This window comes from Homo sapiens, chromosome 8 (assembly GCF_000001405.40).
Source record: "Homo sapiens chromosome 8, GRCh38.p14 Primary Assembly".
Taxonomy (NCBI): domain Eukaryota; kingdom Metazoa; phylum Chordata; class Mammalia; order Primates; family Hominidae; genus Homo; species Homo sapiens.
In genome coordinates this window covers 116,029,587-116,045,535 of record NC_000008.11, presented here as the reverse complement: position 1 = coordinate 116,045,535, position 15,949 = coordinate 116,029,587, and the positions used below count along the sequence as shown (strand labels likewise).

The 15,949-nt window shown below is 35.8% G+C and overlaps 1 long non-coding RNA gene across 1 annotated transcript in view, besides 1 other annotated feature; it reads left to right on the top strand.

The window, feature by feature from the left end:
• Nucleotides 1-15,949, top strand: part of LINC00536 (long intergenic non-protein coding RNA 536) — a 374,549-nt gene that overhangs the window by 279,524 nt on the left and 79,076 nt on the right. The window lies entirely within an intron of this gene.
• Nucleotides 6,387-7,082: an enhancer, noted in NCBI's record as "OCT4-NANOG hESC enhancer chr8:117050679-117051374 (GRCh37/hg19 assembly coordinates)". NCBI's record gives its function as "activates a minimal SCP1, AML or CMV promoter by ChIP-STARR-seq in primed H9 embryonic stem cells {active_cell/tissue: H9 hESC(primed)}" and the evidence as "EXISTENCE:reporter gene assay evidence [ECO:0000049][PMID:30033119]".

Sequence of the window (15,949 nt, the reverse complement as noted above, 5' to 3'; positions counted from 1 at the left end):
CAATAATAAATAGTGGGTACTACTAGAGTTGGGAGGGTGGAAGGGGGACAAGGGCTGGGAAACTAACTATTGCCTGTGCTCAGTTCCTGGGTGATGGGATTATTCATGCCCCAAATCTCAGCATCGTGCAATACACTCAGGTAACAAACCTGCACATGTACCCCTTGAATTTAAAAATATAATAACATTTGAAAAAAGAAGAAAATATCTACTTAGTTAGTATTTCTGTGTATGAATAAAGAAAATGCTATCAAGAAAGGGTTATCTACGTTATATCCAGAAAAGAAGAATGATAAGATTTTAGTGGTAGACTTTCTGCACTGTCCAGAGAAGGGCATATTGGCTAAGTATTTGATCTACAATATTTGGCATTCCAAATTGTCTGTCAGTCTCATGTATTTAGTTATCATGAAACAGTCTCTGACTCCAGTCAATTCTGGATGGAATGACCACAACCACATATGATCTAGGATGCATTTGATGTACTGCAAAAAGTAGATTGTTACAATCAGATATGTCTGATTTTTGTCACCTTTGTTATTTATCAGTTGGAAACCTGGGCACAATTACTTAATCTGACCAAGCGCTTCAGACCTTGAACTACATGTGCACTATATATATATATAGTTTATATATATATATAAACTACATGTGCACTATATATATAGTTTATATATATATATATATATATATATATATATATATATATATATATATATAAAAATATCAGTTCTCATTGTCTTTTTGCCTTGTCTTTAGTGGAAATGAATACACAGGATTATCATAACCTTTGGTGATAACTAAGAAAATAATCTTGCCAATTTTTTGATGACTGTCCTCTGTTTTCATATAGCAAGCAAAACATACATCTACTGGTGTATCTACCTTACTATGTTGAAAGTGTAGAAGTCATTAGTCATTATTGATGGTTGCACAGAATCAAACTTCTTTCTTATGCTTAAGAAATGTATATATCTTGAGGAAACCAGTATCTACTGTACTATAGAGAGGGAAAGTGACATGTATTAGCTTACCCAAGCTTTCATGAAGGTAGTGTGCAGGCATGCTACCTAGGCTCAAGCAATTGGTTGTACCAGCCCAAGAATTGCAGGACTACCAGGAACTCTCTCGGCATTGTTGTTAAAAACATTTCAAACACCTGGGGTCACAATGGCAGAGAAATGGTGGCAGAGGGACAGCAGCAGTGTACTGTGCTAGTGGGTCTAGAAAAGGGAATGGTAATAGTTACTGTTGGGGATGGTGGTAGTGGTGTCCTCGCCAGACTGGTTGTTGTATGTGATTTTGGGCATTCTTTCTTCTTATATGGCCTTAATGTTGCTTTCTAACAATTTCTTGAGGAACCCATTATTGTTTTAGTAAACTTCTATTTTGCATGAAAGAAAAAGAGTCGTAGTTGGTTTCAGTCACTTGCACCTAAGAGCTCTGGTTGATATAAAATAACATGTTTATGTTTTGGTCCCCTACTTAATTGCTCTTCCTGAGTATAGAGTCTTGTCTTATTCATCTGTGTATATCTGATGTTTGTCAATATCTAGAATAAAAAGGGAGTCAGAATTGGAACCGAACTGAACTTCACTTGCTCCTTTCCCATGCTAATTAAGCAGCCTTCTAGTATAATTTAACGTTTCCTGCAGATTTGCTTCCAGAAGGGAGCAATGTATTGAGCAGCTGACATAACTACTAAGCAAACCTGAATACTCATACTTCTCCTCCTTAACAATTCAGTGACATTCTGGTCAGTATCCGATAACTGCGCTTAGCATGAATCAGTTCCCAGAAATCTATTTCTTTAGAATGACACTAACAAAATCTCATTTCCAGGGCTACAAAACTGAGGTCAGCCTTAGTCTATGAAACTACCACCCTGTTAGGTATCACTTAAGTGGCCAATCAACGTATTTTAATAAGATTTCCAAATTAGGAAATCTCTAACTTGAGCAATACCATCTGTATCTGTTACATTTCTCATTATTTTTCACCCATTTTCCCATAAATATTTTCCTTTTCACTTTTACCACTCTTTGGCAGAAATAAAGCTGGGTAGTTGGAAAGATAAAGACATATTTATCCTTCAATTGCATAACAAAATGCTGCACTATTGCAAACACTTGAACTGTCCCATTACTGTGATTGTAGCAGGAATTGGCTGCCAGCAGAATTTTAAAGAGAGGGGCAAAACATAGTAAGGCAGTTATTGACCCTACTCCAAAGTACTGCATTTAAAAATAATGAATTGATGTAAGTTTCCCTCTGCATGTGGGTGTGTTAATCACAGAGGAAAGAAGAATTGATTATTTGAAATTACTCTTTGGGGCTAAAACTTATTTTAAAATTCTGAGTGGGACTTGCAACTTTTTGTTTAGAATCATCAAAGAGTTTTGAATATTCATTAAAAGTTATACAAATATTTAAGGTCACCAAACATTTTTTATCCACATTTAAACTGCCTATATTTCATGAACAATTCATGATATGTGAAGCACTTTACAGTTTGCAAAGAGCTTTCATATGAATTTGCTCATGTGGGTTTCATAACAGTCCCATGTAATAACTAAATGTATTAGGCAGGCCGTACATGTACTAAAATGTTATAACTTTTTCCCTGAACCTTTTGTTCTCTTGGTGACCCAGGAGTCATGATAACATCCATTCACACCTTCCTATTTTCTCTATCCATTTGAAAATATTCTTGAGGTTTCTAAGTAGAAGTTGGTTCTTTGGTTTTATGCACATGTACTGAGCATGTTCAAGAAGTCTCTCCATCTTGGAGGAAGAGTTGAAATTATTTTCCACTTCTACTAAAATGTGTGGCTATCGCTAAACTTTACTAGAGTCAAGAGATTTGGTTTCTGTGGTTTTCTCTTTAATGCTATCTTTCTCATATGGTCCTGAGCAGATAGCAGTTAACATGAGCAGTTAACAATAGCGAGTATGTCAGACTTCTTAAACCACAAAGGAAAATTGCCTGTAGGTTAATAAAGAATGGAAGATTTCTGTATTTTATTGTCAGGCGAGAAACTGAGAAACCAGTAATTGCTGAGCAAGAATTAAGTAAGTTGGCAGAAAATGTGATGTAATGCCTTCAACAGGTGCAGTTGCATAAATGATGGTCCATTTTAATGGATCTGACCTTTGGTTATAAAATTTAGACATTTCAGTTATAAAATTATATAATTACCTTCTTAGAATATAGAGATGGGAGATAATAAATAATATGTCTTATAATTTGACATTGTGATAGGTGCTTTACACCTTTTACTAAAATTATTCCTCATTCCAACAATAGTAAATATGAGATGAAGAAACTGAAATGTTTAGCCACATACCAAATGCTATACAATTAGTGGCCATATTGTAAGAAGGAATCAGTGGTGTTTAAAATGATACTTGCTTAAATGGTGTTCCTGGTTAGGGGAAACTACTTCATCCAACCAACGTCCATTATTTTAATTGAATAAATGCAAATAATTGTGATATTTATGTCAACATATCTGTAACATAGCCTACTAAAGTGCTATATCAAGGGGCTAGTAGACAGAAGCCTGGAAATTAGCCTCTTCTGTCATTATCTTGAGCAAAAACTGTAATTTCTGTTCTGGCCTTTTCTTTGGTGAAACAGAAATCTTTTCCTTAAAAGTATGGTTATTAATGAAAAAAATTCAGTCTCTGGCAAGGATGTTAACTGAGAAAAGGGAATCAGATTTACTATTATTTGACTTTGGAAGATCTTGGGACATGTAATGATAAACCAACTAACCTGCTTTTAAACTAAATTTCAGTCATTACAGCTTTGAAGATTCAAGCCTTATATAACACTGATGAAAATAAAGTAAGGCTAGTGGATGTATCAAACATTCCAAAGAAATTCAGTAGAGAATGAAACTCAATTGAACATATAATAGAACAAAATTGAAGATCTGATATTGAAATATCAAATAATTAATACTTTAAGGAAAACTTCAAAGGCATAGCCCACTTGAGGATAACAAAAAATAAATGTAACCTTGTTATGACTGTTCCTGAGACTGTATACATGTATTGTACATTGGTTATCGCCAATAGCGAAATTCAAAGATTACGTTTGTCAATAAGATTCTATTCATATCCAATAGTATATAACATAATAATTTATCAAATTAAAGTCCATTGTCTTTAATAAAGATATCTAGCTAACATATTAATAAGCCTATATGTTTTCTATAAAACATGTCTTGTGCAAGTAAACAATATTTCGTGATGTAAATAACTTAAATGAAGATGGAACAATACTAACATCACTAGCATTAAAATATGCTTGTAAATTTGACTTAATGATTAACTTTGTGCAGCCAGAGAGGAATCTATTTACCTGTCCGATTTTGATTGTAGAAACAGAAGGATTAGAATGAGGGAATGCCTGTGGGGAGAAAATTGGGGAGGACTGTAAGGTGCTCTCAAATATTGACCTTCTGGTGGTGTATGACTTCAGCTCTAGCCTTAACTTATGGAAAGAGAAAAGCTGTTTCCATGACGGTCGCCATAAAACACTGTAGTAAATAATAATGCCACTCTGGTGCCCAACAGGAGATTATTCTCTCCACCGTGAAGTACCTTGGTACTTCAAGTCCTCAAGGAACACAGACAGCACAACAACATGGCAGACACCGCTATAGAGACTCCCAAAAATTAATGACTGAAATGTTGCATGAAGCTGGAAACTTTACATTAATAAGTGAGGAGAGGTGTGAAAGGAGTAACGTGACTCCCTTAGCCCCCATCAACTTGGGACACCTAAGGAAACACACATTAAATTATAAAGCTTAAGGTAGATTGCTATCTTTAAGGAGATTATCACGTACTAAGTTCAATCCATCTTCTAATTAGTAAAGTTATGTTTTGAATATTTGCCATGTATTATTAAATTTGAGGGCATATATAAGATGGCTTGACTTAAAATGAAATATGTGTGAAATTCATCTTTGGGAAATCTACAAGGTATGCATTGCAGAGAAGGTGATCATCCTCAAGAGTGTTTACAAGCACTGATTTGAGATGGAGCTGCTTCCCAGATGAGCTATTCTTGTACTTACATGCAAGGGTGAATTATAGTGGAGATTTGTTCATTTAAGGTTATTGTATTTTCCAAACAATATTGAAGAAAGCAGAAACAATGAATTATGAAAACCTAAAAATTTATAATATACCAGAAGTTTTCAAGTCTGGCTGTGTATCAGAATCATCAGAAGAGCTTTAAAGATGCAGATTCCCAGGTTGTACCACCATTTAATCTGAATCACAAGGTCAAGTGGGGCTCAAGTATTTTTGTAAAAATTCCCCAAGTTAATTTTAATAGCTTTCCATCTTTGGGAATCATTGGTATAAATATAGAAAATATGTGGGAAATCAGAGAGAGAAAAAATCAATAGAGGTTGGAATTGTCAGATAATTCTCCATTGAAGAACTGAGATTTGGAGGTGGTATAACAGAAAGGATAAGATCTGAACCAGGGGCAAAGTTCTAAACTATACAGAATGAAGGGTGCATTCACACCAGCAACTATAAAAAGCAAACCCCCAAATTATAATGGCTTAGAACAACAGAAGTTTATTTTCCTGTCAAGTAAAAATACACTAAGATATTCCTGGTTGGTGGACGATTTAATCATACTGGAGTTCAGAGGGTTCCAGGGCCATCCCTATTTTTTTTTTTTTTTTTTGAGATGGAGTCTCTGTTGCCCAGGCTGGAGTGTAGTGGTGAGATCTCGGCTCACTGCAACCTCTGCCTCCCTGATTCCAGTGATTCTCTCACCTCAGCCTCCTGAGTAGCTGGATTTACAGGCACGTACCACCATGCCTGGCTAATTTTTGTATTATTAGAAGAGAAGGGGTTTCACCACGTTGGCCAGACTGGTCTAGAACTCCTGACCTCAAATGATCTGCCTGCCGTGGCCTCCCAAAGTGCTGGGATTACAGGCGTGAGCCACCGCGCCCTGCCGGCCATCCCTATTGTAATTCCATCATCCCTTAGGCCTTATCTTTTGTATACATTGAATGAATGAAAGGTGCACCTGCTTCTTCTAACCTCTGACCTGAAAGAGATTCATATTACATCTGCTTACATTCCACTGGTGAACATTAGAGACATGACACCCCTAGATGCATGTTGGGGTGTGAGGTGGGGACAAGAGCCTGCAAATCATTGTTCCTGAATGGACAGTTGCCTCTTGGTAACACAGCATCAGAGCATAGATTTGGGTGCACAGCAAATCACTTCCGTGAGAGTGGGCAACACATTCTGTATACGAATGAACTGTCTTAGTGCTATTCTGCTACAGATATTAACCTTAGTTATGTGCATTTTATATTTTTGTGTTACTCTGCGTTTCTGCATGACCACTTCTTCTCATTTTCTACTTAGGTGCATGAGCTGGAACTTATAATATTGATGTGCTTATAAACATCCTTCATCAGACCCAAGGTTTGAATTTGAGTGTGTGTACTTGGCTCCTGGAAGTAATTAGCCAATGGGCACACTGTCATCTTGGGTCATTTCATCCCCACAGGAGGGACTGAGCCACTGATGTAAAAGAAGATGTAGCCTGAACTCATTTGATTATTTTAAAATCTTGTTTTTCCATTACAAATAGAAAGAGACAATAGAACCAGAAGGAATTCAGCTAAGGAAACATTCAGTGTTTATATGACCCATTTGCATGATAATGGAGTAACATTTATGACAATGGCCAAAGGAGGGTCCTTCCAAAAGGAAAAGATCTGAGAAAAACAATTTCCATACACAGAGTACCAAGCAAGAGAGGGCATAAAACCAGGAGTTCAAGCCCCCTGAAGATATAAATTTTGTGAGATAAGTAGGTGTGTGAAGAAGCTAAAACTATTTTATTTCTTTTGTTACACATTTGATTTGTGTTAAGAACAATCGGTACTCTCACATAATTAAAGCAGTTCTGACGTTTTGGTGTGTTTGATTTTTTGGGCTATGCACAGAGTGTTCCTACTGTCTTTGTTAATATATTTTGAATAAAGATGGCTTTTATATTCGTTTTGACCTTGTGATACTACCTTGATTGGAACAGTAGTGCATAAAAAGATAAAGGAACTTTACAATGATCAATCTTGGCTACTAATGAAAAAATTGCTTATTGCCAAAAGGATAATGCGTTTTGCACTACTCTAAATTGAGTGACAGTTTAGCCTGTTAAAATTATTTTTGTAGGGGCAATGTGGCCTGAGGAAAAATCTGTTATCCTGTGGTTCCTGTGGATATGAGCATATTACTCATGATCTGAGAATGTTTTAGGAAAATAAAATTAGTGACATTTGTCAATATTAATCTATTCTTCTCTTTTTTCTACTTTTTAAAGAGGAGAACATGGATATGTGATTTTAAGAAAAAGAACATTTAATTTTTTAAAAGAATATATTTGTCTTTGGGATGTATTACATTTTTTTCTTCCAAGAATACTTCCTGTACTGAGCATGTTTTGTTTGGGATTAAATTAAAGTAACTGTTAGCTATTCTTTTATTCATAGCATAACAATTTGGCAAGTTCACATCTAATCTTCAGAACATGGCAAAGAAATTTTTAAGGCCTTTGGGTGGCCAAGATTGATGTCATAAATTCCATACACAAAATTCAGGCACTTCTTCATCGGAGATCATCACAGGCCCTCAATCACGGTTTATTTAATAAGCCAAATTTAGCAATAATTATTGTATCTATCTATTGTGAGAGGGGAGAAAGTTGATTAGGCAGAACCAAGAGACGTCTCCGCCAAAAATTCAGAAACACAAAGGTACACCATGACCTTAGAAAGTTCAATCATCATTTATTCAACAAATACTCCCTGACTGTGCTCTGTCATAAGCATAGAGTCTAGAGCAGGAAACAAGAAAGGTATGAGGCCTGACTTTTATGAATTTCATTCAAAAGGAAAGACAGACATTAAGCAAGTAAACAAATAAGCTTGTAAATCCAGTGGTAATAAGTGTTATAAAAATATATCAGGGTAAAGGGTTATATAGTCATTAGAGGAACATTCCTTTGTTTAAAGTCATCAAGAAATGTTTTCCCTATAAATGGTATTTCCGCAGAAACAATCCCACATGGTTATCTTTGAAAGATCTGGTAGAAAGAAAAAAGTAGCTGGCATAAAGTCATCAATGACATCCCTCCCATGACAAATGAAGACAGGAAGCTATCGAGGCTTCCATAGTAATAACCCAAAAGTCAGAGATAGTGTGTCTTTTGTCATAGTTGCAACACAGTGGGGTGAGGAGCAGTTACAAGATTTTGCATCATAGGAAGTCTCAGTTTGGACCACATAGTTCCACACAAAGCCACCCAGAGTAAGGAGAGGCAATACAAAGCCAGACACAGGAGAGATCACACTGAATTCAGTGCTTACCAGAGAATATCACCTGTGCTTATGTGTAAATGCTTCACAAAAAAAAAAAAAAGAGAGAGAGAGAGATACTGCCTTTGTCTTACAAGTACTTGAAGTTAGGTAAATGAGCCCTAAGAAAATCCCTAGAAATTATCCAATAATTGTCATAAAGTCCTGAGTCATCAAGAAAAAAATAAATCAGGCTGAGTCTGTGCTATTTGAAAAAGTAGGGAATGTGATAATCCATTTTATTAAGATTTTATCCTCTGCAGAATGATCAATTTCCTGAGAAATCTCCATTTCCTGGGAGTTCTGATCCCCGTGATTATACAGATATTTGTGTTCCCAGAACGTTCTGGTAATGAGGAAGGATAGAGAGCAGTTTGCTGAAAGGGAGCTAGAATCATTTTTTTTTCGTTATTAATTGAAGACCATATTTCATTGTGATTTCCTTAGTTTTTACCACATGTCCTTTTTCTGTTCCAGGATTCTAAGCCGGATACATCACATTTGTTTGTCACATCTCATTGGGCTTCTCTTGGCTATGAAACTCAGACTTCCTTGGTTTTGATGACCTTTACAGTTTTAAGGAGTCAGGTATTTTACAGAACCCCCTCTACTGGAATTTGTCTGGTGTTTTTTTGTTTGTTTGTTTGTTTTGTTTTGTTTTTTTTAATCAGACTGGAGTTATGGGATGTAGGGAGAAAAACCACAGATATAAAGTGCCATTCTCTTCATACCACATCAAAGGTGCACACTAGCACCTTACTGAGGTAGGACTTGTGAGTTTCTTCACAACAGAGTTATTCTTTTCCTCCCTTTCCATTGCTTATTCTTTGAAAAGAAGTCACTATGTGCATCCCACATTTAAGCAGTAATGAGTCGTGTTCCATCTCTTTAAGGGTAGGGTATCTATGTAAATTTTTTTGAATGCTTCTACTAGGGCTATTTGTCTATTCTGTCTCATATTTATTTATTTATTTTCTTATCTTAGTATGAATGTATGGGTATTTATTTTATACTTTAAGTTATAATCCAATTTTGTTGATATTGTTTCTCAAAGTTTTACAGCTTTGGTTATTGGGAACTCTTTCAGAAGGCTCCTGTGTCCTTTTGAGATAGCCCTATCAATGTAAAAAAATAGTTTTCAGCACTTCTTTCAGTATAAAATGCCCCAGACTTATCTTGCACATTTCCTGTCCCAGTCCTAGAAGGAGCTATGTCACCAAGGATCATTGGTTCTTTTCACTTAAGAATGCTATTAGGAACCAAGATCTGAATAAATAGGTGGTGTTTCCAGAATTTTTAATTCATACCCTATCGGGACACAAGTTTATCAGCTAGAGTAAAGTGATTACTTTGCCTTTGGTCTTATATATTCCTCTCATGTCTAAAGCTATCTAGGTCCTTTCCCATCATCACCTTCAGTGACGTCATTTCATATATCTATAATACAGTTATTTTGTCATATTCTACATTCTGCATTCTATTCTTGAATTCCATGATCTCCTAAAGGATATTTTAAAATTTGCATCAATAAGATTCACTCTTTGTGCTTTAAAATTCTATGCTTTTTTTTGTTTGTTTGTTTTTTATGGAATCTCACTCTGTCACCCAGGCTGGAGTGCAGTGGTGCTATCTCGGCTCACTGCAAGCTCCGCTCCCAGGTTCATGCCATTCTCCTGCCTTAGCCTCCCGAGTCGCTGGGACTACAGGCACCCACCACCATGCCCAGCTAATTTTTTTGTATTTTTAATAGAGACGGGGTTCACCATGTTAAAGTTCTATGGGTTTTGACAAATGCATAGACTATCATACAGAATGGTTTCACTGACCTAAAAAAAAAACCCCTGTGCTTCACCTGATATCTGATGCTCTCCCCACTTGCAGAATGCCTGGCAACCACTAATATTTTTTATTGTATCTCCAAGTTTGCCTTTTTCAGAATGTCCTATGGGCTTATACAGTATGTACCCTTTTCAGACTGGTTTTTTTTACTTCTTAATATGCATTTAAAATGTAATATGGTTTGGCTGTGTCCCCACCCAAATCCCACCTTGAACTGTAATAACCCCACATGTCAAGGGTGGGGCCAAGTGGAGATAATTGAATCATGGGGGCAGTTTTCCCCATACTGTGTCATGGTAGTGAGTATGTCTCATGAGATCTGATGGTTTTATAAATAGAGGTTCCCCTGCATAATCTCTCTCTCCTGCCTGCTGCCATGTAATATGTGACTTTGCTCCTCCTTTGCCTTCTGCCATGATTGTAAGACCTTCTCAGCCATGTGAAGCTATGAGTCAATTAAACCTCTTTCCTTTATAAATTACCCAGGCTTGGTTATGTCTTTATTAGTAGCATGAGAACAGCTAATACAGAATGTATCCATAGTTTTCGGTGGCTTGACAGCATATTCCTTTTTTTTGTCATGGAATAATATTTCACTGTCAGGATATTTGTTTATTCATTCACCTAGTCAGAACATCTTGGTTACCCGGTTTTTGGAGATTATAAATAAAGTTGCTCTAAACATTTATGTGTAAGTTTTTGTGTGAATATAAGTCTTTCAAATCAGTTGGGTAAATACCTAAGATTGTAATTGCTAAATTGTATGGTAAAACTATATTCAGCTTTGTAGGAAATTGCCTGTCTTCCAAAGTGGGTGTACCATTTTGCATTCCCAACGGCACAGAATGAGAGAACCTATTGTTTCACATTCTTACCAGCAATTAGTATACTTATTTGTTTCAGACCTCAGTTATTCTGATAGGTGTATAGTGGTATCTAATTTTTAAGTTCACATTTCTAATGACAGTGTTAAACATCTTTTCATATGCTTATTTGTCATCTGTGTATCTTCTTAGGTGAAGTGTTTGTTCAAATTCTTTGCCCATTTTTTTCTCCTCTGGGCTGGATGTTTACTATATTGTGTTGTAAGAGTTTTTTGTATATTTTGTATACAAGTCTTTTTGCAAAAATTTCTCCCAGTATTTGGGTTGTCTTCTCATTTTCTGAACAGTGACAGTCACAGTGTTGAAGAATTTTAATTTTAATAAACCCAACTTGGCCATTCACTCTTCCATGGATTGTGTTTTTGTGTTGTACTTATCAGGGTAAACTTGTCCCTCCAGATTTTGAAGTGGCAGTTTGATTTATTGGGTCCCAGAAAGATCATTGATTTTTCATTTTGTCCAGATTTTTTACTTGTAAGGATGGAAGTGATGACTTCTAAGCTTTTCACATGGCAGAGCTGAAAACTGAAGTTCTCTGAACTAAAAAAAATTAAAGCAGGAATAAAAATTTAAGTGGGGCTGGGCATGGTGGCTCACGCCTATAATCCCAGCGCTTTGGGAGGCTGAGGCGGGTGGATCACAAAGTCAGGAGATCAAGACCATCCTGGCCAACATGGAGAAACTCTGTCTCTACTAAAATACAAAAAATTAGCCAGGCGTTGTGGTGTGCACCTGTAGTCCTAGCTGCTTGGGAGGCTGAGGCAGGGAAATCACTTGAACCCAGGAGGCAGAGCTTGCAGTGAGCCGAGATCACGCCACTGCACTCCAGTCTGGGTGACAGAGCGAGACTCTTGTCTCAAAAAAAAAAAAAAAAAAAAAAAAAATTAAATGGGTGGGCTAATCTTCAACATGGATCATTCGCACACACTCACAAAATCTGAAACCGGTTTACTTCTAAAATGCATGTAGTCTCCAATCATCCTAATTTATTTTCCTTGTAACAATTATGTACAAGTTGTATTTTCTAGTTGGTTCTGTTATTTCACTCATTGCCTTACTCCACTAGCATGTGAGTATGTAGGAACAGAGGCTGTATCTATCTATTTCATCCTTCAATCCCTAGTGGCCTAGATCAGGAGCTCAATATACATGAGATCAGTTATAAATATGGACAGCAGTTGTGGATGATATATTACAATTACCAATATGACTGCCATTCTAAATATAAAAGAAAATGAACAAATCCATGGAACGTATTCTCTTTAATCAATCTCATTTACCAAATTAGTCTTTTTTTGGTTTTATAAATATTTTATACAATACACCATATTTTAAAAGGAGGCCTGATGCGACAAATATTCCCGTGGACTACCAATGGTAAAATGCACTGATTAAACAAACTATTAACTTTCTGTATTGGTGAACTCAAAACGATGATTCATGGTTTGGCTAGTGTTTCTTACCATTTCTATATTAACTTAGCATTTCGGTTTGTGTTCATTGCAATCTAAAATAACTTGGATATTTAAATATTGTGGTGTCTTCTTTCTGTCTTCCTTTATGTAAGCTCCATGAGGCCAGAATTTAGCTGTTTTCTTCCTACTCCCTATCTCCAACCATATAGAATGATAATCACTAAATCAATATTGGTTGAATAAATGAGTCAATAAATCTGAAATAGGGATTATATGACTCAAGTGTATAAACAGTTTGATAAACTCACTGAGTATTTTTCACTTATATACAGATATGTTGACTTGTATTTTCATTCATATACCACTGGCAGCAACTTACAAGATTGCCTGTTTCAAAGTGAAACAAATGCCGTTCCTTAAAGAATTTAAGGAACAGTATTTGTTTTATATAGGCATACCCAAAGGAGTCCATTGTAACCATGTCATTTAAAACTATGGACTTAAAATAAACTTTCCTTTTTATATATTTTTGTGTGTCTGCATTAAAAATACAATTATTTAATGTGGTATAAAAATATTTAAGCTATGTTTACTAAATGTATCAAAATAAGAAAATATTTAGAACCATAATCTGGTTAGTCTGAAGGTCACTTGAAATAAATATTTATTTGAACAGCTTTCTAATAAGTCTCATTTTCTTTTGTTGTATCCAGATACCCTTGCATGTTTTAGGTGGTGGATGAAATTATCTTATCTGCAGCAAACCTTGGGTCTTCCTGTTTAAAGTAATTTACAATACATGCTTCAATATCAAATTCAGGAAGGAAAACATACATTATAATTAAAAGGAACAAAGACAAATGTACCGTTCATTTCAATAGCTGACTGATACTTGTGGAAAACATACACAATGAAATCGGTAGATAATATGGACAATTACCTATATTTTTTTATTCATCTGCCAGAATATACGTGTGAGTGCTAGGCTTCGAAGTCGCTGAAAACTTTACCCAATACTTATAAAATGCCTTAGCAGATTACATTGTATGAATCTGTAGATACCACTGTACCACTGTGGTACAGTGTACACTGTGCTCTACTGCAGGCATTCGATCTTCTTAGATCTTTTCACATACTTCGTTGTTGCATTTAACCTGAACAGATTCAATTGATATTATTTGTAAAAGTACCACAAATTGGTTTTGAAAGATTAGAAATTTCAACTTTACTATTTTCTTATACTCACATGAAAAGAGACTCAGTGACAGAAATCTGTGACCTATTGAAATAGAAACCATGAGTTTTCCTAGTAACTGTGTTTTGACAAGATACACACTGCATGATGAAAAGAGTTTTGCTTCTCTCCAGTATATTTGCTTGAGAGTGGCACGTGGTGTTGACATACCATATGTTTCTGGGTTCTAACAATTTTTAAAAATCACATAGTGTGTTCATCCATGAGGTGAAAGCAACCATCTCACTCAAGCCCATTATACAAATTAGAAGTCTTTGTTCTTTTCATGTTTCATTGGTAGGCATTAACATAGACACTATGAAGCTAGAGCTGGAAGTAATGAAGTGAAATTGTTCACATCATTACTTTAAATTGAAATGCAGGCAGTTCATCTACATAGAAGATACGAGACTCTTTTACCTTAAATATTAAAATACTGAGTATCAAACTTCAAACAACGACAACAAAAACCCGGTACATTTTAAAGCAGTTTTTTTTTTTTTTTGACTCAAAAGCTGTACCTGTATCATAATTTTTGAAAATCCCTTGTATTTTTCTGTAGTTGCTTCAGTCTCTAATTGGAGCTTCTGTCAAGAAAACCAACATTTTGAACAGAAAGTATATCCTCATGAAGCAGACATAACACTTTATTTTTATCTGTTACTAGAAATTAATTTTAGACTCGTTATTAAAGGGAAAGGAGGTATGCAGCATTAGTCAATCACTAGTGATCCTGCATTAGGGGAGAAAACCTGAACTAACCAATTATCTACCATCAAACTAGTTGTGTTTAAAGAAAGATCATGGTCCTACATAGATAAATATTTTAAAAGATAATATCTTAATAATACCAACTTTTTTGTCTGCTTCAGTGTAAGAGGATGTTAGGCGAAAATATGGCATTTTGTAACACAAGCTATTTTAAAACAGATGGGCTGTGTCAATCTCCAAGACAGTTTCTGCACTTGTTCCTATAGAAATCATAAATGTGCCAGGAACTGTGGGGGTGTCACACTAGCAAAATGTAATAAAACTTAGGACATTTGTCATTTTATGAGACTATAATAGTAATAATTGTGCTTCTTAAGTTCTTTCCTACTAATCAAATATGCAGAGCTGATAGTCAGCTCTTGAATCTTTTTGAGTGTGTGCTTTGCAATTAGTACCCACTGACAGAATCATAGAAATATGCTCCATCCACCACTCTAGTTTTACATATAGGGAAACTGAGGCTCAGCTGATTGCCTTACTTCCTATTTCACTGAGAAACTAATAGAAATAAGGAGGAGAACTTTCACAAATTCCTCCACCACATCTTCCTAGCTACCAGCCTTGCACCTCCAGATGTGGCCTTCCTGTTTGACACCAGAGATGAACTATTCATTCTCCTATCTAAATTCAGCCATTCCACTTGTGTGTCAGATCTTAACCCCTCTTGCCTGTTCAAGGGAAGCACTACAGCAATTCTCACCTCCCTTTCTGGCATCATTAATCTTTGCTGTTTACTGGGCCATTTCATCAGCATATAAACATCCTGCTATTTCTCCCATCTTAAAAAGGAAGTAAAAGAAGTCTCTTTCTCAATAGATTCATTTTACTTGTCTTTCAGATCACCATATGTTCTTAGTTTTCCTTCTCCATTGCTTACTGCTCTATTATAATCTTTACGGTTAGATCATTGTCTGGCTCCCTGAACACTTACATGTTGGAGATCTACAAGGCTTGGACATCGGTTCTCTCTGCTCCTACATTCAGGCCCTATTTCTGTCATCTGGTCTTACAGCTTTAAAGATCATCTGTATGGTGACAACTCCGATATTTAAATATCCCAACTCCTTTTCTATGGAAGTTCAGTCTTGGCATAACCGAATGCCTACCCATCATGTCCAGTGGGATGTCTAATATATGTCCCAAATTCAGCATCCCAAAACTTAAGTCTGTTTATGTTTCCAAATAGCTATTCCACCACGTTCTTATCTTTCTCAATAGACAACTACCCTATCCTTCCAGATACACAGGACAAAAAATTAAAATAGCTTTCAACTCTTTTATTTCTCTTACGTACCACATTCAATCAATCAGAATATTCTGTGGCTTCACTTTCAAAATTTACCCAGAATCCAACCATATCTCACAATTACATAAATACTAACCTAGTCCACA